The sequence below is a fragment of the Homo sapiens genome, chromosome 8 (assembly GCF_000001405.40).
Source record: "Homo sapiens chromosome 8, GRCh38.p14 Primary Assembly".
Taxonomy (NCBI): Eukaryota; Metazoa; Chordata; class Mammalia; order Primates; family Hominidae; genus Homo; species Homo sapiens.
Window position 1 is genome coordinate 71,885,518 of NC_000008.11, and position 27,097 is coordinate 71,912,614.

At 39.0% G+C, this 27,097-nt stretch overlaps 1 long non-coding RNA gene and 1 pseudogene across 2 annotated transcripts in view, besides 2 other annotated features; both read left to right on the plus strand.

Annotated features, from left to right (window-relative positions):
• The window catches only part of MSC-AS1 (MSC antisense RNA 1), a 213,190-nt gene that overhangs the window by 42,395 nt on the left and 143,698 nt on the right, over window positions 1-27,097 (plus strand). The gene's annotated exons all lie outside the window — the stretch shown is intronic.
• Window positions 7,641-7,900: an enhancer, noted in NCBI's record as "active region_27523". NCBI's record gives its function as "activates an Ori minimal core promoter by ATAC-STARR-seq in GM12878 lymphoblastoid cells {active_cell/tissue: GM12878}" and the evidence as "EXISTENCE:reporter gene assay evidence [ECO:0000049][PMID:35858748]".
• Window positions 9,041-9,120: a silencer, noted in NCBI's record as "silent region_19280". NCBI's record gives its function as "represses an Ori minimal core promoter by ATAC-STARR-seq in GM12878 lymphoblastoid cells {active_cell/tissue: GM12878}" and the evidence as "EXISTENCE:reporter gene assay evidence [ECO:0000049][PMID:35858748]".
• RPS20P20 (ribosomal protein S20 pseudogene 20) lies at window positions 10,478-10,815 on the plus strand (annotated as a pseudogene).

A 27,097-nucleotide genomic window follows, 5' to 3' on the forward strand; every position in this document is an offset into this window, starting at 1 on the left:
AGTGTTCTAATAGGTAAACTATGTTTCTTCTAGGCAACAGAAAAGCAGGTCAATAGGTGTTTTTTATCCATTCAGCCAGTCTATGTCTATTGATTACACAGTTTAGTCTATGTCAATGTTACATTTACAGTCAATGTTATTATTGATAAGTAAAGACTTACTGGTGACATTTTGTTATTTGTTTTCTGGTTGTATTGTGACCCTCTCTTCTGTGTGACTCTCTTTCCTATTTTCCTCTAGTAATGGTGACTTTCTCTAGTGACATGGTTTAGGTACTTTCTTTTTAATTTTTGTATATCCATTGTATGTTTTTGGTTTTAGGTTTCCATGAAACTTGCAAATACTATCTTATAACCCATTATTTAAATCTGATAACAACTTAACACAATTTGCTTAAACAAATAAGCAAAAAGAAAACTAATAAAAACTCTATGCCTTAACTTCATTCCTCCACTTTTTAACTTTTTTTGTTTCTATTTGTATCTTATTGTATTGAATATCATATTAGTCAGTTCTCATGCTGCTGATAAAGACATACCTGAGACTTGGTAATTTATAAAGAAAAAGAGGTTTAATGGATTCACAGTTCCATGTGGCTGGGGAGGCCTCACAATCATGGCAGAAGGTGAAAGGCACATCTTACGGCAGCAGACAAGAGAGGAAATGAGAGCCAAGCAAAAGGGGCTCCCCTCTTAGAAAATCATCAGACCTTACGAGACTTATTTACTACCACAAGAACATTATGGAGGAAACAGCCACCATGATTCAGTTATCTTTCACCAGGTCCCTCCTACAACATGTGGTGATTATGGGAGCTACAATTCAAGATGAGATTTAGGTGGGGACACAGCCAAATCATATCAAGTATGTCCTGAAAGGTGGTTGTCGTTATTATTTTTGATTGGTTCATTGTTTGGTCTTTCTACTTAGGATAGGAGTAGTTTACACACCATAGTTACAGTGTTAAAATATTGTGTTTTTCTGTGTACTTACTATTACCGGTGAGTTTTGTAGATTCACGTGATTAGTTATTGCTCATTAATATTCTTTTCTTTTTGATTGAAGTACTTCCTTTAGCATTTCTTGTAAGACAGGTGTGGTATTGATGAAATCCCTCAGCTTTTGTTTATCTTGGAAAGTCTGTATTTGTTTTTTATGTTTGAAGAATATTTTAACTAGATACACTGTTCTAGGGTAAAAGTAATTTTCCTTCAGCACTTTAAATATGTCATACCACTCTCTCCTGGCCTATAAGGTTGAAAAGTCTGCTGCCAGATGCATTGGAATTCCATTTTATGTTATTTGTTTCTTTTCTCTTATTGAGAAAAGGATCCTGTCTTTATCCTTAGCTGTTAGGAGTTTGATTATTAAATGTAGGAGGTAGTCTCCTTTCAGTTAAATCTGCTTGGTGTTCTATAACCTTCTTGTACTTGGATATTAATATTGTTTTGTAGTTTTGGTTTGCTCCCTGTTACTATCCCTTTGATTAAACTCTTTACCCCTATCTTTTTCTCTACCCTCTCTTTAAGGCCAATAACTCTTACATCTGCCCTTTTGAGGCTGTTTTCTAGATCCTGTAGACATCCCTCATTTTTTAAAAAAATTTTGTCTCCTCTGACTGTGTATTTTCAAATAACCTGTCTTCAAGCTCACTAATTCTTTCTTCTGCTTCATTAATTCTGCTATTAAAGGACTTTGAGGCATTCTTCAGTATGCCAGTTGCATTTTTAAGTTCCAGAATTTCTGCTCAATTCTTTTTAATTATTTCAATCTCTTTGAGAAATTTATCTGATAGAAGTCTCAATTCCTTCTCTGTGTTATCTTGAATTTATTTGTTTCCTCAATACGGCTATTCTGAATTCCCTCTCTGTAAGCTCACATGTCTCTTTTTCTCCTGGATTGGTCCCTGGTAGCTTATTTAGCTCATTTGTTGAGGTCATGTTTTCCTGGATGGTGTTGGTGCTGGTAGATGTTTTTCAGTGTCTGGCATTGAAGGGTTAGGTATTTATTGTAGTCTTTACTGTGTGGGCTTATTTGTAGCTGTCCCTCTTAGGAAGGCTTTCCAGGTATTTGAAAAGACTTGGGTTTTCTGATCTAAGCTGTTTCTGCTTTAGGGACACTAGAAGCCCAGTAATACTGGTTTTTGCAGACTCATAGAGGTACTACCTTGATGGTTTTGGACAAGATATGAGAGAATTCTCTGGATTACCAGATACAGACTCTTGTTCTCTTCCCTTACTTTCTCCAAAACATATAGAGTCTCTCTTTTCTAAGACACCTAAAGCTGGGGATGGTGTGACACAAGCACCCCTGTGGCCACCACAACTATGACTGTGCTGGGCCAAACCTGAAGGCAGCAGAGTGCTGGGTCTTACCCAAAGCATGCTGTAATCACTCCCTGGCTACTGCCTATGTTTGCTCAAAGCCTGGGGCTCTACAATCAACAGGTGGTAAAGCCATCCAGGCCTGTGTCCTTCCCTTCAGGGTGACAAGGTCCCCTAAACCCCAGTTGGGTCCAGAAGTGCCATCCAGGTGTCAGAGACTAGAATCAGAAACCTTAGAAGCCTACCTTGTGTTCTATTGGATTGTGGCTGAGCTGGCCCTCAAACCTTCCTCTTTCCAAAAGCAGAGGAGCCTCACCCCATAGCCATTGCTATACCAGGTCATGAGGAGTACTGCGAGGCTACCGACAATGTTCCCTCAAGTTCTCTTAAGTCATCTTGTGGTGGATACTGCTGGCCTGGGACTCACCCTTCAGAACAGTGGGCTCTCTTCTGGCTCAGGACAGGTTCAGAAATGCTATCCAAGAGTCAAGTCCTGGAATCGGGGACCCTAAGAACCCACTTGGTGCTCTACTCACTGTGGCCATACTGGTACCTAGGGTGCAAGACAAAGTCCTTTTTATTTTTCCTGCTGTTTTTCTCAAGCAGACGAATTTTTCTCCCATAGCCACCACCGCTGGTTATGTATTGAGTCTGTCCTGAAGCCAGCAAGTCTCAGAGGCTCAACCAAGGCCCTCAATGTATTACCTGGGTGTTGCTGCTGGTTATTCAGGGCCCAAAGGCTCTTTAGTTAGCAGGTGATGAATGCTGCCGAGACTGTGTTCTTTCCTTCAAAGAAGCAGCTTTCCTTCTGGCCCAGAGTATGTTTAGAAGTGTTGTCTGGAAGCTAGGACTTGTATGGAACAGTGGCATCACAACTCTGACTGGTGCCGTGTCCTGCTGTGACTGAGTTGGCACCTTAAATGTAAGACAAAGTCTGCCCCACTTTTTCATCCCCTTTCCTCAAGTGGAAAGAAGGGGTCTCTTTGGGAGCCACGAGCTGTGCAGCTTCGGGTTAAGGGAGGGGTGATGCTAGCACTCCCTTGGCTGCCCCAGCTGTTGTCTCAGTATGTCATGTGCCCCCACCATCACCCAGCCCACTGTCTCTGGGCCTTATTCAGCACTAGGACTCACCTATGAGTTGTGGTCCTTACCACCTAGACTGCCTTTCAAGTTTACTTGGATTAGCCCTCTGTGGTGAGGTTTGCAGACACTCAAGTTCCCACCTCTAGGATCAGGGACTCCCCTCTGGCTAGGGCTGGTTTAAATGCTGCCTCCATGGGCAGGCATCAGTTAAGTTTGGTCCAATTTTCCTTTATGCTGTAACAGGACAATACTGTGTCCAATACCTTAGAATTCCTGTGTTCTCCCTCCTTTAGTGCCCAGACATGCTGCACACCAGGCTACCACTGCTAGGGGTAGAAGAGGGATGGTGTCCATGATTCAGGACTGTTTATTATTATTATTATTTTTTAATCTCTTCCGTGCCTTTTTCAGAGATATGTAGTGAAAAACAGGTGCTATGAGTGTTTACCTGATCTTTGGTTCTTAAAAAGGTCTTTGTTTGTTTGTTTTTGTTTTTGTTTTTTTTCCTGTGTAGTTAGTTGTTAGCTCTGTGTCCTTATGCGGGTAGTAGTGGGGATCCTTAGTGGAACTTTCTATTCTGCCATCTTGTTTCATCCTTCCTCCCCTAGGTATTTTATTCTTTTTGCAGCAATCGTGCATGGGAATGTGTTCCTGATTTGGCTCTCAGCTTGATGGTCATTGGTGTATAGAAATGCTAGTGATTTTTGTATGTTGCTTTTGTATCCTGAGACTTTTGTGAAGTTGTTTATCAGCTTAACGAAGTTTTGGGCCTAGACTATGGGGTCTTCTAAATATAGCCCTGTTCTAATATAGATGCTCCTGCACCAAACCCTTTGGGTTCCACATCTTCTGTCATGCTACCTCTACCACTTCTGTAAGCATCTCTCCCTGACAACTCAAGTGTCCGTGGTGGCCAAGGGCCCTCCTGCCAGGATTCCATAGGAAGAGCAGGTTCCTTCTTGCCAATTTAACTCATCCATTTCCCCGGAATCAAGGGCCAGTCTCTGTGCATGGAAGTTCTGTGCAGGGTTCCCAGCTTCCTCCCCTTTCAGCCCAGCTTCTGTGGCTTCCCTCCATTTGTCAGAGGCATTTGAACCACAGTGACTCCATCTTGAATAAGGGTTGGGTAAAATAAGACTGTGCCCTACTGGGCTGTATTCCCATGAGGTTAGGCATTCTTTTTTTTTTTTTTTTTTTTTTTTTTTCCAGACAGAGTCTCGCTCTTGTCACCCAGGCTGGAGTGCATTTGCACAATCTCTGCTCACTGCAACCTCCACCTCCCGGGTTCAAGCAATTCTCCTGCCTCAGCCTCCTGAGTAGCTGGGATTACAGGCACCTGCCACCACACCTGGCTAATTTTTGTGCTTTTAGTAGAGACGGGGTTTCACTATGTTGGCTAGGCTGGTCTCGAACTCCTGACCTCAGGTGATCCAACTGCCTTGGCCTCCCAAAGTGCTGGGATTACAGCCATGAGCCACTGGGCCCCTCCTGAGGTCAGGCATTCTAAGTCTCAGGATGAGCTAGGAAGTTGACATAAGGTATAGGTCACAAAGACCTTGCTGATAAAAGGATGCAGTAAACAAGCTGGCTAAAACCCACCAAAACCAGGCTGGGCACGGTGGCTCACGCCTGTAATCCCAGGACTTTGGGAGGCTGAGGTGGGTGGATCACGAGGTCAGGAGATCGAGACCATCCTGGCTAACATGGTGAAACCCTGTCTCTACTAAAAATACAAAAAATTAGCCAGGTGCAGTGGCTGGCATCTGTAGTCCCAGCTACTCAGGAGGCTGAGCCATGAGAATGGTGTGAACCTGGTAGGCAGAGCTTGCAGTGAGCCGAGATCGTGCCACGGCACTCTAGCCTGGGCGACAGAGCAAAACTCTGTCTCAAAAAAAAAAAAAAAAAAACACCCACCAAAACCAAGATGTCTATGAAAGTGACCTCTGGTCATCTGCATTACTTATTATATGCTAATTATAATGCATTAGCATGCTAAAAGACATTCCCACTGGCACCATGACAGTTTACAAATGCCATGGCAATGTCAGGAAGTTATCCTACATGGTCTAAAAAGGGGAGGAGCTCTCAGTTCCTGGAATTGCCTACCTCTTGCCTGGAAAATTCATGAATTTTTCACCCCTTGTTTAGCATATAATTGAAAAATAATTTTAAGTAATCTTAGTTGAGCAGCCCACACTGTTGCTGTGCCTATGGAGTAGCCACTCTTTTATTCCTTGACTTTCTTAAAAACTCGCCTTCACTTTACTCTATGGATTCACCTCAAATTCTTTCCTGCCTGAGATCAAAGAACTCTCTTGGGGTCCACATTATGACCCTTTCTGGTCACGCCTCCATTCTCAGTTTCTTCCCTCTGAAGATCTCTTAGGAGTACACCAGTCATCCCAGTTCCTTGATGGCAGAAGTTCCACCTGGCTGCATCTAGTTGGCCATCTTCTACAGGTTTTAGGTGGAAAATTTAATCCATTTGTATTCAAGGTTATTATTGATAAGTGATGACTTCTGTCATTTCGTTTATGTTTTCTGGTTGTTTTGTTTATCCTTTGTTCTTTTCTTTCTGTTTATCATTGTGCTTTGGTGTTGTGTGTGTGTGTGTGTGTGTGTTTGTAGTGGTAACATTTGAGATCTTTCTCTTCCTCATTTTTGTGCAAAACACTACTGCACACACTCATTTTTGTGTTTGCTCTACCAGGGAGTTTTATACTTTCATGTATTTTCATAATGGTAGATATTATCCTTTTACTTCAAGGTTTAGGACTTCCCTAAGGATTTCTTGTATGGCTTGTTCAGTGGTGATGAATTCTTTGAATTTTTGCTCACCTGGAAAAGACTTTATTTCTCCTTCATCTATGGAGGTTGACTTTGCTGGGTATGATATTCTTGATTGACATTTTCTTTTTCTTTCAGCACTTTGAATATGTCATCCCATTCTCTCCTGGCCTGTAAAATTTCTGTTGAGAAATCTGCTATTATCTGACGGAGATTCCTTCTGTTACTCATTTTAGAATTATATCTTTGTATTTGACTTTTGACAATTTGACTCTAAGGTGCTTTGGAGAAGACCCTTTGGGATCTTGGAGCTTCTTCTATTTGGATAGGTAAACCTCTTGGTGTATTTGGGAAGTTTTCAGCTATTATTTCATTACATAGCTTTTTTATGCCTTTGGCCTTATCTCTATCTGAAATACCAAAAATTTGAATATTTGGTCTCCTTATGGTGTCCTTTATGTTACATAGACTTTGTTCATTTTTATTTATTTATTTTTGTCTAACTGCGTTATTTCAAAAGACCCATCTTTAAGTTTTGTAACTTGATCTAGTCTATTGTTAATCTAGTCTAATGTTAATTCTTTTGCTTGATCTAATCTAATTTTGAAACTCTCAATTATATTTTTATTTCATTAAAAAATTCTTTAGTTCTAGGATTTATGTTTGGTTATTTTTTATGATGTTTATCTCTGGTGAATTTTTCATTCATATCCTAAATTGTTTTTCTGATTTTGATATGGTTTGGCTGTGTCTCCACCCAAATCTCAACTTGAGTTTTATCTCCCAGGATTCCCATGTTTTGTTGGAGGGACCCAGTGGGAGGTAATGGAATCATGGGGGCTAGTCTTTCCTGTGTTATTTTTGTGATAGTGAATAAGTCTCATGAGATTTGATGGGTTTATCTGGGGTTTCCGCTTTCACTTCTTTCTCATTTTCTCTTGCTGCTGCCATGTATGAAGTGTCTTTCGCCTCCCACCATGATTCTGAGGCCACCCCAGCCAAATGGAACTGAAGTTCAATTAAAACACTTTTTCTTCTCAGTCTCAGGTATGTTTTTATCAGCAGTGTGAAGTGTGAATACAGACTAATACAGATTTCTTCATATTATTTTTCTGTGTCCTCTTATAGCTCACTGAGCTTCCTTAATATCATTATTTTGATTTCTTTTCCAAGATTTAAAAATTTCTATTTTTTATCAAATCTGTTGCTGGTGTTCCTTTGGAGGTGTCATATTTTTTTTCTTTTTCAGGTTTTTTTGTGTCCTTACATTGATATCTGCACATCTGGTGTATGTATTACTTCTTTCAATTACTTGTATTGGCTTTTGTAGGGGAAGACTTTTTTTCTAAAGATGTTTTCCATGGTACTGGTTGGGTAGAGCACTTTAGCTTTCATTCTGAGTGTGTACAGTAGTGTTGTCTCCATATAATTTTTTTTCTTGGCTATAAATAGCATCAGTGGTGTCAGCAATTTCCTCAGTGACTTAGCCTATAGTTGTTCATAGAGGCCATGGTCAGACTTTGCTGGGGTTGGAGACACCAGTTGGGCCAATTTTCAGGTCCTATGTGGGCTAGCATGCCTATCCTTGGGCCCCTGGATGGTGTATGTGGGTCTTGGTTTAGCATGTCTAGGCAGGTCCGTTCTTGGGCCTACAGGCAGCTTGGTCAGGTGCCAGTAGTGGCAGCACTGGGCTGGATGGGTAGACAGGTTGTATGGCTTAGGTGATGGCAGTAGTATAACCAGTCAACCCTCAGGCTCACAGGTGGCATGTGCTGGTGTTAGCAGTTGCTGCATTGGGCCGAGTGGGCCAGTCCCCAGGTGGCACATTTTGGAGGTGTCAGTGCTGATGGTGACAGGCATGGCTGGCTGTGGGAGGAGTGCACAGATGTCAGTGATGATGAATGGGTTAACATGATTCCCTGACTTGTGGAAAGCATGTTTGGGTGATAGCGGCAGGTTTTCTGGTCCTGTTGTTAGGACCCTTGGGGTGTGTACATGTGCCTGGGGTGACCAATGGGTGATCCCTTGGCCCCTGGTTGGTGTCCTTGGACAAGGGAATGGAAGGTGGCAGATGGGGTGGGCTGGTCTTCAAGCTCCCCTGATAAAACACACAGGTGCAAGCTATGATGCACAGGGCAGGGTTATCCCCAGGCTTCCAGCTGTTTGTGTTTGGGGGCCAGCAGCAGCTGACATTCTGAGCCTGTTGTGAGGCTCCTTTATGGTGTATATGTGCTCCCAGAGTGACTGATGGGAAAGGGCAATCCTCAGGCCCCCAGGTGACTTTCTTGGTGACTGAGCAAGGGTGGTGCAAGGCCGTGAGAGCTTGTCCTTTTGCCACCTGATGGCATATATAAGCATATACTGTGGTGGGCAGGGTGGGGCAACCCTCAGGCTCCAGGGTTATTGTATTTGGGTAGTAGTAGCAGCCTCATTGATGGTCAGGGGGAGCCTGTCCTCAGGGTGTATGCAAGTGCTTGTTGCCTGTGGTGCAGGGAAGGTGGGGCTGCTGTCAGTGGCAGTAGTCCCAGGCAGGTGGCTATCAGGCTTTGGGAGAACTTGCTTCAGCTCCCTTTGTTTTGGTGGCAGCCTTCTTGTGCTGTATACTTGTTCCCTAGGGTGTATAATAATATGTGCACTAGAGTGCTAGGTACCCTACCACATTGCTGGGACCTTGCCACACTGCTGCAGCCTTCCAGTAGGATATGGGGGAATGTCAGTGAGGCTCCAGGGATGTAGATATGTAGGGAATGTTGGACCCCAGGGCAACATGCAATCTGGTAGGAGTTGGGCTCTCAAAATGGTGCTGCTGTGTAACAGCTGCTTGGGTCTTGGGGTAGGGAGTGTAGGACCCAGCATGAGCTCCCTCTTTGGAGCAGTGCTGTCTGAGACTCCAGGCAGCTCCGTGTATTAGTCTCAGGACCTGCAAAGGCCTAGGGGCTCTTTTTGGGTAGGACTGCAGGAGTCTCCATGGTGGGAATGTGAACCACTGGAAATCTCTCATTTACCATTTCCCTGTACTGGAGATGCTTTCTGGGCTCCCAGATGATACTAGCTGGGCTGGTTGCCTCACTTCCTTCTCCCTCTGTGCATAAGGCATTTTCTGTCACTTCTCTGCTGAACTCTAGTGTTCTTTCTTAGAGGCTGTACTCAAAGTTTCATTATCCATTCAGTATTTTTATTCTTCTTTGTGGAGGTGGCAAGTGCTAGGTGCCTCTAGTCAATCATCTTGAAGCCCCCTGTTATGTTAAAGTCTTTAATGGAAAAAGAAGACAACATGCATGACCAGGCAGATACTTTGAGCAGAGTCATAGGAACTGCAAAAAAAAAAAAAAAAAAAATCATCGGAAAGAATAATTCGGTAACAGATGAAAAATACCTTCAATAGTTTCATCAGTAGATTTGAATTTGACATAGTTGAATAAAGAGGCTGTGAGATTGAAGACAGGGTTAAATCAATAGAAATTACCCAAAGCAAAACAAAGAAAAAATAAAGGGTGATAAAAAACAGATTAGAGTATCCAAGAGCTGTAAGAAAAAATCACATTATCTAACCTATGCAAAAATGGATTTTCTAAAGAACAAAGGGAGAAGAAGGTAGAAAAACCTTGAAGGCAGCCAGAAAAAAAAAAGACACATTACATAAATGTAAGAAGGATAAGAGTTGTAGTAGACTTCTCATGAGAAACCATTTAAACAAATGGACAATGGCAAGGTGCCTTTGTAGTGCTGAAAGGAAAAAAAACTAACTTACACCTGGGAAAAATATCCTTTAAAAGTTAAGCAGAAGTAAAGATCTTCTCAAACAAACAAAAATTGAGGTAACATTGCCACAGACCTACTCTACAAGAAATGCTAAAGAATGTCTTTAGGTAGCAGAAATAAGATGTAGTCAGAAACATGAATTTATACAAAGAATTAAGAACAAAAGTGAAATTGAATATTTTTTAATTGCTCTAAAAGTTAATGGACTATTTAAAACAAAAATTATAAAAATATGTTTATACCATTAATAGAAGTAAAATATATAAAACCATGGAATAACACACAGACTAGGAGGACTTGGGAATATGCTGTTACATTGCATATTAAGTGGTATTATATTATTTGAAGTTAGATTTATTAACAATTACAGAGCTAATTTTTTTTTTAAAAAAACAGGTATAAATCCTCTTTGAGGAAAACACTGTCACCACTGTGGTCTGCCTTTCCTGTTCCTGAGTCACCACTGCTCTCATGCTCAGGAAGGGAACAAGTAGGTCAAGAAGTTATGCTTAAAAGCCAGGGCTTTTAAGGATGCCAGAAAGATGTCAGTGGAATCCATAGTTGGTGTTTCACCAAATTAGAATCACCCTACCCAGCTGCAATGTAAAATCCCTGGAGAAGGTGTTTGCTGACTTGATCAGAGGCTCTAAAGACAAAAAATCTCAAGTTAAGCTTAATTAGTCTTTGAGACTCACTACAAGAAAAACTTTTAGTGATGAAGGTTCTGAGACTTGGGATTGTCTCTAGATGAGACTCTACCAGATTCATTGACTTGCACAGTTCTTCTGAGATTACTCTGATGTTTTCCATCAGTATTGAGCCAAGAGTAGAGGCTGTAGTCACCGTTGCAGATGCTTGAATGAATTATTTCAGTAAATTGATTATCAGTTGTTAAAATTAGAGATATAAATAATGAGTAATTAGGAGAGATTAATAGGGAATTATAACATGCTCAATTAAATTCAGAGAAGGCAGAGATGAGCAAAACAGCAAGCAAGGGCAAGTCGAACAAAGAGAAAACAACTACCAAGATGATAGATTTTAATGCAGTCATAACAATAATCACTTTAACTGTCCAAATTTATCAGTTAAAAGCCAAACATTATTAGCTTGGATATAGAAGTGTGACTTAGTTACATGTTGTCTACAAGAGAGCCAATTCAAATATAAAGACACAGGTTAAACGTAAAAGTGTGAATAAGGATATACCATGCAAACACACAAGAAAAGCTGCAGTAAGTACATTAAATTCAGTCAAAGTAGGCTCCAGAATAAGAAATATTATTAGAAATAAAGTGGGACATTACAGAATAATAAAGGGTTAACTTCTACAGGCATACATAACAGTTCTGAAGGTGTATGCACTTAATAGTAGAACTTCAATATACATGAAGCAAAACCCAACAAAGCCACAATTATCATTGGTGACTTCAACACCCCTTTGTAGTTATTGATGTAACAAATAGCCAAAACATCAATAAGGATATAAATGATTTAAACATTATAAAACAACTTAATTTAATCGACATTTATCACTCCACCAAAGACCTTTAGAATAAACATTCTTTTTAAGTGTACATAGACCATTCACAAACATAGACTGTACTCTGGGCTACAAAACAAAACAAACTGTAATGAATTTTGAAAAATGGACATCACAGCAAGTACGTTCTCAAATAATTACAGATTATACTACTAATTTTTTTAAAAGATATCTGGAAGATCCCCAATTATAGGAAGTTAAACAATACATTTCTTACTTCTTCTTTTTTTTTTTTTTTTTTTTTTTTTACCGCTTATTATGCTGCCTCGGTTGGTTTCAAACTCCTGACCTCAAATACTCCTTCTGCCCCACTCTTTCAAGTAGTTGGGATTACAGGCATATACCACCATGCCAAGTTAAATAATAGGTTGTGAAATAACCAATGAAAACAGGGCAAAAGGTCTTAACAGACACCTCATTAAAGAAAACATATAGATAAAAATAAGCTTATGCAAAGATGCTCAACCTTACTTGTCATTGGGAAATTTCAAATTAAACAATAATGTGATATCACTACACACCTATTAGAACAGCTATAACAAATAACTGATAATATAGGCATGGCAATAGGAACTATTTGCTATGATCAGTATGATTCAAAGAAGAAATCATACAAATTCCTCAAAATTTCTTCCAGAAAATAGAAGAGGAACTTTTTCTAATGTATTCTATAAGTCCAGCAATACTCTGTTACCAAAACTAGAGAAAGAAAATTAAATGGAAGATACAGAACAATACCTCATGAATATACACAGAAATTTCTCAGCAAAATATTATTAAGTTAAATTCAGCAATATATATAAAAAATACAATATCCTGACCAAGTAGGGTTCATCCCAGGAATGCAAAGCTCATTCAACATTTGATAACCAATTAATGTAATTTGATGTATTTACAAACTATACAAGAAACATCACATGATTGTTTCAACAGATGCAGTAAAAGCATTTAGTACATTTCTACGTTCTTTCATGATTTAAAAAAACTCAGAATAAAAAGAATAGAAAGGAATCTCTTTAACCTAATAAAGGGCAGGCACATGAAAAAACCCTGCTGCTAATATTATATTGAATATCAAGAGATTAAATTTTTTACCCCTAAGATCAAGAATAAGGCAAGATGTTTTGTCTTATCACTCTCATTCAACATTATATTGGAAGTCCTAACCAGTACAATAAGACAAGAAAAAAAAAGAGGATTCAGATAGGAAAATAAGAAATAAAACTGTCTCATTTTATAGACAACATGACTATATATGAAGAAAACCCTACAATCTACACAAAAGCTCCTGAAACTAATAACAGAATTCAGCAAGGTTGCAAGATGTAAAGTCAATATAAAAAATTCAATTGTATTTCTGTTTACTAGCAATTAGCTTTTGGGATATTGATTTTCAATAGCACCATCTCTCTTAGAAGGAGTATTTATGCATAAATCTAGCAAAAATATGGGCAGGACTTGTATGATGAAAAATCATAAAACAGAGATAAAAGGAATAACATGTCTAAACAAATGGAGGATATACCAGATTCATCCCGAATCTAAAAATTCAGCATAATCTCAGTAAAAATTCCAGCAAGTTTTTTCTATAAATATCAATAAACAGACTGTAAAATTTATATGGGAAGGATAAGGAACTAGAATAGCCAAAATAATTTTGAAAAAAAACAGAATTGGAACACATATGCAGCTGGATTTCAATAACTATTGTAAAAGCTACAGAATTATGATAATGTGGTATTGGTGTAAGCATAGACATACATCAGTGGGGGAAAATAGAAAACCCATAATTAGACCAACACAAATGTAGTCAACTTATTTTTTGAGAAAGATGCAAAGTCAATTCATTCTAGAAAGTACAATTTTTTCAACAAATGATGCTGAAACAACTGAACATTCGTATGCAAAAAATGAACTACACATACTCCTCACATTTTATACAAAAATAACTCAAAGTATATTATAGATGTAAATGTAAAATGTAGAAATATCAAAGTTCTAGAAGAAAGCAGTACAACTTCTGTGTAACCTTGGATTTGGTGATGAGTTGGTAGATACAATACCAAAACAATGAACCATTAAGAAACAAATTGATAATTTGTGCTTTATCAAAATTAAAACTTTTCGCTTAGACACTGGTATGAGAATTAAAAGACACCTCAGAAAGACTGGCAGAAAATATTTGCACATCACATATTTGGTAGAGTTGTTGTATCCAGAAATATGGTTTAAAACCCTTAAAACTCAACAGCAAGAAAACCAGCAACACAATTTTTAAAATCTGAGTAAATGTTCTCCAAAGATATATGCCTAGCAAAAATGCTTAATGTTAGGGAAATTCAAATTAAAACCACACTGAAATGCCACTGCCTACCTATCAGATTGGTTAAAATAACAGCAGCAAAACAAAAACCTGATAATAGCAAATGCTAGCAAGAAGCACCAACTCTCATTCATTGCAGGTGAAAAATGATACAAAATGTGAATAGTGCCGCAGTAAACATATGTGTGCATGTGTCTTTATAGTAGCATGATTTATAGTCCTCTGGGTATATACCCAGTAATGGGATGGCTGGGTCAAATGGTATGTCTAGTTCTAGATCCCTGAGGAATCGCCACACTGATTTCCACAATGGTTGAACTAGTTTACAGTCCCACCAACAGTGTAAAAGTGTTCCTATTTCTCCACATCCTCTCCAGCACCTGTTGTTTCCTGACTTTTTAATGATTGCCATTCTAACTGGTGTGAGATGGTATCTCACTGTGGTTTTGATGTGCATTTCTCTGATGGCCAGTGATGATGAGCATTTTTTCATGTGTCTTTTGGCTGCATAAATGTCTTCTTTTGAGAAGTGTCTGTTCATATCCTTTGCCCACTTTTTGATGGGGTTGTTTGTTTTCTTCTTGTAAATTTGTTTGAGTTCATTGTAGATTCTGGATATTAGCCCTTTGTCAGATGAGTAGGTTGTGAAAATTTTCCCATTTTTTAGGTTGCCTGTTCACTCTGATGGTAGTTTCTTTTGCTGTGCAGAAGCTCTTTAGTTGAATTAGATCCCATTTGTCAATTTTGGCTTTTCACAATAGCAAAGACTTGGAACCAACCCAAATGTCCAACAATCATAGACTGGTTTAAGAAAATGTGGCACATATACACCATGGAATACTATGCAGCCATAAAAAATGATGAGTTCATGTCCTTTGTAGGGACATGGATGAAATTGGAAATCATCATTCTCAGTAAACTATCACAAGGACAAAAAACCAAACACTGCATGTTCTCACTCATAGATGGGAATTGAACAATGAGAACCCATGGACACAGGAAGGGGAACATCACACTCTGGGGACTGTTGTGGGGTGGGGGGAGGGGGGAGGGATAGCATTAGGAGATATACCTAATGCTAAATGACGTGTTAATGGTTGCAGCACACCAGCATGGCACATGTATACATATGTAACTAACCTGCACATTTTGCACATGTACCCTAAAACTTAGAGTATAATAATAATAATAATAATAATAATAATAATAAAAAGAAAAATGATACAAAATGGTATAGCCAATTTGGAGAATAGTTTGGCAGTTTCTTAAAGTTAAACATACACTTTCTCTACTTCCTGGCAATCATGTAGGGCTGTGTCAGGAAAAGTGCACGAGAAATCAATAACATCTTGTAGTGCCACAGACTAAGGAAGTGCAAAAAAAAAAAAAAAAAAAAAAAAAATATATATATATATATGCAGGCATGTCAAAGAACACAAAAGCTAAACTCTAAGAGATCCCAATGGCCAAACTTGGAATTATTTGAGCAACAAAAGAAATGATAGCACTGGATTATGGCCTAAGAAATAAAGTAAATATCCATGAGTTCATACTGACATAATTAAATGATTAGATAAACAAATGGGACAGGGAAGAGACAAATCTTCCTTAGAGAATTCCGAATAGTAAATGCAGAAGGAATGAGAGAAATAGAAAATGACCATTACAGCACCTCAATAGTAATGGTTACAAGCATGACCCACAGATGAAGGCTAAACTTAGTATTTGAAACTGTACCGAGAAATAGGATATTTACATAGCCTCAATAAATGACAGCCCCAAGATATTTATTAATCACTGTTGTGGTTTTAACAGTTTCTACAAATTCCTGGATACTCATCTTTCCAGAATATGGAGCTTAATTCCTTTCTCTTTGAGTAAAAGATGGATTTAGTAGCTTGCTTCTAGGCAATAGATTATGGAAAGGGGGGGAAATGTTAATTTTACAGAGGAAAAACCTGGCAGACATCATCTAACTAAGTGATCTAACTAACTAGATAATAACTAGTTAACTGAAATAATCTAGTACTAAATCAGATTAATGATGTGATGTGTTGTGATGACAAGGGCAGTAGACTATAGTGAAATTGTTCCCCCAAATTTGTATCCCCTATCGAATCATGAGAAAATATCAGACAAACCCAAATTGAGGGTCAGCCTAGAAAAGTACCTCACCAGCTGTCTTCCAAAGTGTCAATGTTATGGAAAAAAAAAAAAAAGAAAAGATTGGGGACACTAGGGGCACATGATGAATAAATGCAATGTGGTATATTAGATTGGATCCTGGAAAGGACTTCAGTGAAAAAACTGATGAAACGTTTTGATACATGTACCATTGTTACATAAAATGGTAACCTTAGAAGAAGTTGAGTGAAGCATATAAATGAACTTTCTGTATTGTCTTTGTAACCCTTCGGTAAATCAAAAATTATTTCCAAATAAAAAGAAAGGCATGTCGTCCTGCACAGGGTGGAGTAGCATGGATGGAAGGGAAGCCTGGGGGTCTTTTATTGTGAGGTGGTGTATTGACCACTCCTCCTGCTATGGCTCCTCTTTTTGTAGCACCCATGGTTCTTTCCTGTCACAAGCTTTGTTTTCCAAACATCATTCTAGGAGACCTTCAATATGTTCTTCGTAAAATAACCTTGGCTTTGTTTAGCCAGATATCCGTTGCTTACAACATAGTATCCTGGGTGATATGGTTTGCTTTTTAAAATTTAAATGATTTAGTCACTAATTATATTTGTCCATTTTCACACTGCTGATAAAGACATAGCTGAGACTGGGAAGAAAAAAAGGTTTAATTGGACTTACTATTCCACGTGGCCGGGGAGCCATCGGAATCATGGCAGGAGGTGAAAAGCACTTCCTTACATGGTGGCTACAAGAGAATATGAGGAAGAAGCAAAAGTGGAAACCCCTGATAAACCCATGAGAACTCATGAGACTTACTATCATGAGAATAGCATGGGAAAGACTGGCCCCATGACTCAATTACCTCCCCCTGGGTCCCTTTCACAACACATGGGAATTCTGGGAGACACAACTCAAGTTGAGATTTGGGTGGGGACACAGTCAAACCATATCATTCCACCCTGGCTCCTCCAAATCTCATGTGCTCACATTTCAAAACCAATCATGCAATCCCAACAGTCCCCCAATGTCTTATTTCAGCGTTAATCCAAAAGTACACAGTCCAAAGTCTCATCTGAGACAAGGCAAGTTCCTTCTGCCTATGAGCCTGTAAAATCAAAAGCAAGCTAGTTACTTCCCAGATACAATGCAGGTACAGATATTGGTTAAATACAGCCATTCCAAATGGGAGAAATTGGACAAAACAAAGGGGTTACCGGTCCCATGCAAGTCTTAAATCCAGCAGGGCAGTCAAATTTTAAAGCTCCAAAATGATCTCCTTTGGCTCCAGGTCTCAATCCAACTCACACTGATGCAAGAGGTGGATTCCCATGGTCTTGGGCAGTTCTGCCCCTGTGGCTTTGCAGGGTACAGCCTCCCTCCTGGCTTCTTTCATAGGCTGGCATTGAGTGTCTGTGGCTTTTCCAGGTGCACAGTGCAAGCTGTCAGTGGATCTACTATTCTGAGTTTTGGAAGATGATGGCCCTCTTCTCACAGCTCCACTAGGCAGTGCCCCAACAGGGACTCTGTGTGGGGGTTCCAACCCCACATTTCCCTACTGCAATGCCCTAGCAGAGGTTCTCCATGAGGCCCCTGCCCCTGCAGCAAACTTTTGCCTATGCATCCAGGCATTGCCATACATCTGAAATCTAGGCCGAGGTTTCCAAACATCAGTTCTTGACTTCTGTGTATGCACAGGCTCAATGCTACATGGAAGCTGCCAAGGCTTGGGGCTTCCACCTTGTGAAGCCACAGCCTGAGCTGTATGTTGGCCCCTTTCGGCCATGGCTGGAGCAGCTGAGACACAGAGCACCAAGTCCCTAGGCTGCACACAGCACAGGAACCCTGGGCCCAGCCCACAAAACCATTTTTTTCTCCTTGGCCTCAGGGCCTGTGATGAGAGGGGCTGCCATGAAGGCTTCTGACATGGCCTGGAGACATTTTCCCTATGGTCTTGGGAATTAACATTAGGCTCCTTGCTACTTATGCAAATTTCTGCAGCCAGCTTGAATTTCTCCCCAGAAAATGAGTTTTTCTTTTCTATTGCATAGTCAAGCAGGAAATTTTCCAAACTTTTATGTTCTGCTTCCCTTATAAAACTGAATGCCTTTAACAGCACCCAAGTTACCCCTTGAATGTTTTGCTGCTTAGAAATTTCTTCCACCAGATACCCTAAATCATTTGTCTCAAGTTCAAAGTTCCACAAATCTCTAGAGCAGGGGAAAAATGTCACCAATCTCTTTGCTAATATGTAACAAGAGTCACCTTTACTGCAGTTCCCAACAAATTCCTCCTCTCCATCTGAGAGCACCTCAGCCTGGACCTTATTGTACCTATTCTATCAACATTTTGAGCAAAGCCATTCAACAAGTCTCCAGGAGGTTCCAAAATTTCCCACATTTTCTTGTCTTCTTCTGAGTCCTTCAAAATGTTCCAACCTCTGCCTGTTTCCCATTTGCAAAGTTGCTTCCATATTTTCAGGTATTTTTTCAGCAGTGTCCCACTCTGCTGGTACTAATTTACTGTATTAGTCCAGTCCATAGTCATGCTACTGATGAAGACATACCCAAGACTGGGGAGAAAAAGAGGTTTAGTTGGATTTACAGTTCCACATGGCTGGGAAGCCCTCAGAATCATGGTGGGAGGTTAAAGGCACTTCTTACATGGTGGCAGCAAGAGAAAATGAGGAAGAAGCAAAAGTGGAAACCCCTGATAAACCCATCAGATCTCGTGAGACTAATTCACTATCATGAGAATAGTACTGGAAAGACTGGCTCCCATGATTCAATTACCTCCCCCTGGGTCCCTCCCACAACACGTGGGAATTCTAGAAGATATAACTGAAGTTGAGATTTGAGCAGGAACACAGCCAAACCATATCTCTAATTATTCATATGACAATATTGAACATATATTTTAGTATCTATGTATAGTTTATGTAAACATATAGAGCTGTGAAATAATGTGGAATAGTGCTAAGCATAAAAGAAGAGTTAGGTAGTTTCAGTTGAAGAACAGTTATACTTACCTGGGTAGAGATGGGGAGAGGAAAACAGGAAAAGCTTTGTGGAGAATACTGAATTTGAATTAGGAGAGTATATAGCATTTAGACAAATTATAGTCCAAATTGAGCAACCAGTTGCTGAATTTTGGTTTTATGTTTATCCAAATAGGCCTTTGTTTCTGCACAATATTAATTGAATATTTTTTTCATCTTCACTACCTACATATTTACCCATTGTAAATAGGTACAAAATAGATTCCGTGCTCTCACACAATCTGATTACCCCCAATTGATGTGAGTGTATCCCTGCCTGCCCTGAAAGAGAGTTATGGCAATTGTGATAGAATTAAAATGGTCAGAACTGGGGCAAAGAACACAATCTGATGTATCAATACTTTGTTCTCTACAAGATGATGCTCATCATGGGCTTTTAAAAAAAGTTTTGTTGTTTTTGGCTTCTCCTAAAAACATATTGAGTTTTACCCAGTTGCAAAACAATACTGAAATATAAATGTTCAAATGTACTAGTTTGATTACATTAGGGGGAATTCATGACTTCTAGAGTACCTGCCCACTCTTGCTATGCCTGTGGGCGATAGGGATGCTATCAATGAAAGGAGCATAAATTAAACTTATTAAGAAGTTCTTCATGTGTTACAGACATAATTTAGCATGTTCATTATAATGGCTGAAGCCAAAGGATGGATTCTTACATGGAATGTTATGACCTCACTGAATATTGTATTTCACTTAGCTCTAGAAGCAGAGGAATCTGTATCAAGTCATAAATTATACAAGAAGTGTAAAAGTGACACCTGAAATATGGCTAATAGATCAAAGGGAATGGTATTTTAACTTCTATTAAGGAATTTATGTGTGACACTGTATGGATGAGCATTGTGAGTCAAAAAGATGATAAAATTTTAGAAACATATCACAACATAGATTTTTATAAAGGATGTATATGTACACTTTAGCGAACAGTAAAAAAGTAGCCATATTCCTGGCACCTGGTTTAAAAAATAGAATATTACCAATATCTTTATAGTCCCTGTTTTCCTTCTCGGTTCCCATCTTCTTCCTTTCTCCTAGAGATACTTGTGAGGTGAAATTTTGTGTTTATTATTCATCCAACTTTCATTATAATTTTATTAGAAATGTGTAGATTTATACACAACATATATGTTTAATTTTGTATGCACTAAAGCACATATAAATGGAATCTATTGTATGTGTTCCTCTGTGATTTGCTTTTTTTGTCAATGTTATGCTTAAGTTTTAATCATTTTGATGTCTAAACTATAGTTATTCATCTTTACTACTATATAGTGTTCATTTGTAATAATGCCCACAGATATTTTTATTTATTCTAATTATAATGAACATATTTCAGTGCCTACTTCTAGTAGATGCAAACACATAGAATGTAAAATAGTGCAGAAATACTAGTTTTCTATTTTAAATGTGAATGGACACATGAGAGTTTCTCTAGAATAGTATTTTTTAAGCTTTTCTGACCATTACCTTGATAAGCCACGAGTTGGCTTTGCAAAATTCTTACAAAACAATACTTTGATTGCAAGGGATTTCCTTTGACATTTTCTATCCCATTCCACTCCATTTCATTTTATTGAAAATATTCTGATTTTGTCCCCTGATATTCATTTATCGAGCCACTAATGGGTCATAATCAGCTACCACCCAGCAGTTTTTAAAACATTGCACTAGCATGAGGAATGAAATTGCTGGGCTGTAGAATAGGCAGGCTTTCAGTTTTGTTGGACAGTACCTTATTGATTTCCAATCATCTGTGAAGTTGCTCTCCCAGCAGCAGCACATGTGTTCGCTTTGCTCCACTACTTTGCTCACTTTTGTTATTGTCAGATATTTACATTTTCTGGTTTATTATATTTTATATTTTTAATAAAAGAAAATTGAACTGGAACTCAACTGTAAAACTCACCATAGATAATTCAGATTAGTGTAAATCTACTCAGTCTATTAATAAAAATGACACATTGATAGGAAACCAGAAGTTACCATTTTGGGGGACATTTTAGTAAATGAGTTTTTTAAGAAAAATATTGATTTATGCCAAAAGTATTCCTAAAAAGTAAAGCATAATCAGATCCCAAATCGACATTTTTGGGGGTCTCAAATTGTCTGGATCAAGAGTCAGCTATGAAAAGTATGAATCTATTGTTGTAAAAAATCTGCTTTGGGCTTAATCTGAATCAGCAGAAATTTTAGCAATACCATAAGCAAATAAAATGTGTTGTTTTGGGCTTTTACGCTCAAGTCTACAACATATTGAAGGAATTCCTAGTGTTGTTTTTCTGCTGTTTCTGTTTAAACTTCAGCAATATTTTAATTCCCCCGATTTTCCACTGTCTTCAATGAAGAATGATAGGAAGAGATCAGAATAATCTGCTTCTTTCATTCTTAATTCCAAATCCTTGAGATACATTTCTGGTGTACATGGCCCTCACTAGTGGTAAATTAGGGTCTTGGGAGGCAGAGGAACTTGTACTCTATGATTTGTGCCTCTAACTGGCATGTAGAAGGTTCAGGAGTGTAAGATTTCTAAATTTCCATGCAGGCAATCCTTTAGAGGTTTGCAACATCCCCAAGCCCTCAGCCATTCCAAAGTGCTGAGGCAAATTAAGAAGGCCAAGGAAGTCAGTTAAGTTATCTTCTTGTAGACAGACAGCAAATTTATTTATGGCAAATTCTCTGGCCACTTGCCAACATAGAACACTGTTCACACAAAACTGGTTGGGAAGGGGAGGCAGACAAAGGAAGCCTTCAAAGCTGAATCCTGGGCCATAGCATTACTGGGGCTTCCTAAAAGAACAGCCTCTATAGTTTTAGAAGAGTAATTTGGGTGAAGGTTTCCTGATAGGGCTTAAAAAGGGATGTATCCTACCATAAGATGAGTCTACTCTATGGAAAATGATATTTTATAGCATTTCAACGACAACATTTCATTTTGCAGAGCAGCACACATCATCCAGGGAGGAAAGGAGTAACACTGGTAGGAGTTAAGACAAGCAAGTTTTTGGTTCTGGTCTTGTTGTCAGGCAATTAAAATAACAAAAACCAAACAACAACTTCTATTTAGAACTGGTCAAGATGTTTTTAGAGTCATAAAATTCCATCTATTTTCATAAGTTAAATGTAACCTACAACATCATTTCCCATTTAACTCTCAGATTGTGTTCTCTATTTCAAAAATGAATAGAAAGACTCTCCACATGGAGTATTCTCTGTCAGTTTACTTTGAGTTCTGAAAACTTCTGGTTTTCACACAATTATTTTCATAGTCATAGTTATGTTATTTAAAGAAATAGTTTCATTTAAATGTGAGTCTAAAGGCTGAAGAAAAAACCTCCCAAACAACAAAATTTTAGTTTATGGTCTCTCTTAGGTCTAATACAGATAGTACTTGATATAATTTCAATTTTCTTTTTTTTTTTTTTTTTTTTTTTTTTGAGACGGAGTCTTGCTGTCGCCCAGCTGGAGTGCAGTGGCGCAACCTTGGCTCACTGCAGGCTCCGCCCCCTGGGGTTCATGCCATTCTCCTGCCTCAGCCTCCCGAGTAGCTGGGACTACAGGCGCCTGCCACCTCGCCCGGCTAATTTTTTGTATTTTTAGTAGAGACGGGGTTTCACCGTGTTAGCCAGGATGGTCTCGATCTCCTGACCTCGTGATCCGCCCGCCTCGGCCTCCCAAAGTGCTGGGATTACAGGCGTGAGCCACCGCGCCTGGCCAATTTCAATTTTCTTAACTTTGTTGAGATTTATTTTGTGACCTACCATATGGTCCATCTTGGAAAATGTTCCATGTGCTGATGAATAAAATGTATATTCTGCAGTTGTTGAGTAGAATGTTCTGTAAATATCTGTTAAGTACATTTGTTGTAGGGTATAAGTATATAGTTCATTGTTTCTTTGTTGACTTTCTTTCTTGATGACCTGTTTAGTGCTGTCAGTGCAGCATCAAAGTCCCCCACTATTATTGTGTTGTCATCCATCTCATTTCTTAGGTCCAGTAGTAATTGTTTTATAAATTTGGAATCTCCAGTGTTAGGTGCATATATATTTAGGATTGTGATAATTTCCTGTTGAACTACTCTTTTTATCATTATATAATGTCCCACTTTATCTTTTCTAACTGTGGTTAACCTACTTACTTTTGGTTTCCATTTGCATGGAATATCTATTTCCACCCATTTACCTTAAGTTTACGTGAATCCATATGTGTTTGGTGAGTCTCTTGAAGACAGAAGATTCTTGGTTGGTGAAATTTTATTCATTCTGCTACTCTGTATCTTTTGAATAAAGCATTACGTTAAACATTAGTATTGAAATGTGAGATACTATTCTATTCATCATGCTAGTTGTATTCTGAATACCATGATTTTATTTTTCATTGTATTATTGTTTTATAAATGCCCTGTGAGATTTATGCATTAAGGAGGTTCTATTTTGGTGTATTTTGAGGTTTTGTTTCTAGATTTAGAACTCCCTTTAGCATTTCTTGTAGTGCAGGTTTGGTAGTGGCAAATTCTCTCAACATTTGTCTGAAAAAGATTTTATCTCTCATCTATGAAACAGTTTCACTGGGTACAAAATTCTTGGTGGATAATTATTTTGTTTAAGGAGGCTAAAGATGGGACCCCAATCTCTTCTGGCTTGGAGGGTTTCTGCTGAGAAATCTATTAATCTGACAGGTTTTCCTTTATAGGTTACATGATGCTTTTGGCTCACTGCTCTTAAGATTTTTTTCTTTCATCTTGACTTTAGGTAACCTGATGACTATGTGGCTAGGTGATGATCTTTTTGTGATAAATTTCATAGGTGTTCTTTGAGCTTCTTGTATTTGGGTGTCTAAATCTCTAGTAAGACCAGGGAGGTTTTCTTCTATTATTTTCTCAAATAAGTTTTCCAGACTTTTAGATTTCTCTTATTCCTCAGGAACACCAATTATCCCTATGTTTGGTCATTTAAGATAATCCCAAATTTCTTGGAGGCTTTGTCCATTTTATTAAATTCTTTTTTCTTTGTCTTTGTCAGATTGGGTTAATTTGAAAATCTTGTCTTTGAGCTCTGAAGTTCTTTCTACCATTTGTTTGATTTTATTATTAAAACTTTCCAGTGCATTTTGCATTTCTCTGTGTCTCTCATTTCCAGAAGTAGTAATTTTCTTTTCTTTATGATAAGTATTTCTCTGGAGAATTTTTCATCTATATCTTGTATTTTTTTTTCTTCTCTTAAAGTTGTTTTTCAACTTCCTCTGGTGTCTCCTTAAGTAGCTTAGTAATTGGCATTCTGAATTCTTTATCCAGCAATTCAGAGATTTCAACTTGGTTTGGATCCATTGCTGGAGAGCTAGTGTGATTTTGGGGGGGTTGTTAGAGAACCTTCTTTTGTCATATTACCAGAATTTCTTTTCTGGTCTCTTCTTTTTTGGGTAGACTGCTTCAATGGAAACATCAGGGACTCAAAGGCTGCTGTTCAGATTATTTTGTCCCACGGGCTGATCCCTTGATGTGGTGCTCTCCCCATTCTCCGAGCGATGGGGCTTCCTGAGAGCCAGACTGCAGTGAGTGTTATTGCCCCTCTGGGTCTAGACACCAAGTGGAGATACGGGGCTCCAGACTGGTTCTGGGGAATGTCTGCCAAGAGTCCTGTGATGTGATCCGTCTTCACATCTTCCAGTTTTGGATACCAGCACCTGATCTGGTAAAGGTGGCAGGAGAGGGAAGTGGACTCTGTGGGAGTCCTTAGTTGTAGTTTTGTTTAGTGTTCTGGTTTTCTCACATGCTGGTTATGCTAGCAGTGAAGTTGTCACATGGATGGACTCAGGATCTCTGGTAAGCCAACGTGTTGCAGGTGGTGGAATTAGCTGTTGTTTTTCTCCTTCTTTGTTTTGAGTTGCTCTAATGGCTTGAGTTGGTTGGCCTCTAGCCAGGAGGTGGCACTTTCAAGAGAGCACCAGCTGTAGTAGTAAAAGGGGGATATAATGTTGTCCTATGTTGGCCAGGATGAATACTTATGTTTCTCAGGTGATGGGCAGGGCCATAGTGCTTCCAAGAGCTTATGTCTTTTGTCTTTGGAGTTTTTTGGCTGTGTCACAGCATTTGCAGTGGCAAGCCACGTCTTTCAAATGGTCTTTGAATTCTTTTGGTTTTCCTGGTGTGTTTCTGCAGTTGTTCCTGGAGCAAAAGTTCACAATGTGAGTCTCCAGATGCTGTTTCGTCCATCCAAGCATGAGCTGCACGTTAGTCCTGTTTCCTCTCCACCACTTGCCCTCCTCCCACTTTTGCCTCTAGTGTTCAGATGGTAGCCTCGAGAATCATGTTCCAGTTAGACTAAGCTTCTCCAACACGCAGCCCACAAGCCATATGCAGCCCAGGATGGCTTTGATTGTGGCCCAGCACAAATTCATAAACTTTCTTATAACGTTCTGAGATTTTTTTGTGACTTTTTTTAGCTCATCAGCTATGGCTAGTGTTAGTGTATTTTATGTGTGGCCCAAGACAATTCTTCTTCTTTCAGTGTGGCTCAAGACAATTCTTCTTCTTCCAGTGTGGCCCAGGAAAGCCAAATTGGACACCCCTGAGTTAGACTCTTCCATCATTCACTATACATCTGAAGAAATAAAAATGTCTTATCCACATCCTTGCTTTGACAAATAGCTCAGCAAATACACCATTAGTCCCAAGATAACACTCTAACTTAAATCACTTAGGGATTAACCTTATGTGTGAATCAGTGATACTCCCTATTTCCTAGTCGAGAAAAACCCAGGTGTTAATTTTTGTAATTGACCTAACTGCCTCATTAGTGTTATTTTCCCCCTTTGTAATGGCTGTGAGACTTGTGATATTTTTGTGGCTATTTTAGCTGCTATGTTATGTAAAAAATTTCCCAAATTGGTGATAACAAGTTGAAAACATTCCTAAACAATTGGAGAAAGTGGTTCTTAAGTCTACGCTGGAGGCATCCAGACAGCTGGAAGCTGTGCCTGAGTCCTGAAAAGCTGATAGAATACCTACAGGCAAACCAATCAGCTAGTGAGGTGCTCACAGCTAGTGAGAAACTCCAGTTAACAAACTCCACAGCCTATTGTGGAGACAAGCTAGCTTTCTGCCTCTTTGTTCCACATCTTTACATTGCATAATATTTTGCATTTATTAATATTAATAGACTACATAGAAATAGTTGCCAAGTCTTTCACCTCCTATGCCCTGGTGGTACTAATAGGCATGGAAACTCTGGCAAAATAAGGGAAAAGAAGGCGGGGAGGCAAGGAAAGTTGGCCAGGATTAAAACAAGTTATGGAATTTATGTCCTCTGGAGAAGCTTTAATGACACATGTGCCTCAGGTTAAGAAAAGAACAAATACATTTTAGCCGCTTAGGGAAGTGCATCTTGCTGGAAGATAGGAAGTGATCAAGCAAGGATGTGGAGTCAAATGCCGAGGATCAGAGAAATAAGAATTCCTGGTTGCCCTGAAGATTCAATGCATGGAGTGAGGTTCCCGAAATTGGGAAGCCACACACAGGACCTGGTATCTTCCAAGGTCTCACCTGCCCAGTAGGGAAAAGGAAGCACCAACTAGCAAAGTCAAGGTGAAAGGTAATGCTAATGATCAGGATCTCTGGTAAGCCAAGGTGTTGCAGGTGGTGGAATTAGCTGTTGTTTTTCTCCTTCTTTGTTCTGTTATGAGTTGCTCTAATGGCTTGAGTTGGTTGGCCTCTACCCTCTAGTGATCTTCTCACTTAAAGTTCATACACGGACAGACCATGAGTTGGTTAACCTGACATCCATTCCCAATTGCCTGCAGCTACTCTAGCAGCCAGGAGAGCGAAATGCTACCTTCATAATCTCCCAGGAGTGGCTATCTTATAAAGGAGTCACTATCCCTGACATTGCTGAGTTGCTAAATTAACATCAGCACCTGTGTGCCTTCAGAATTCTTGTTAAAAGAGACAAATGAACTTCATTTTGTTGAAGCCACAGTAAAATTTTTTTGATACTTGCTGTTGTCTCATTCCTTATTATATGACATGTATATTATGTAAGTTTTCTCTGATTAAAACTTTTCATATAACTTTTTAGTAAAGAGTGTTG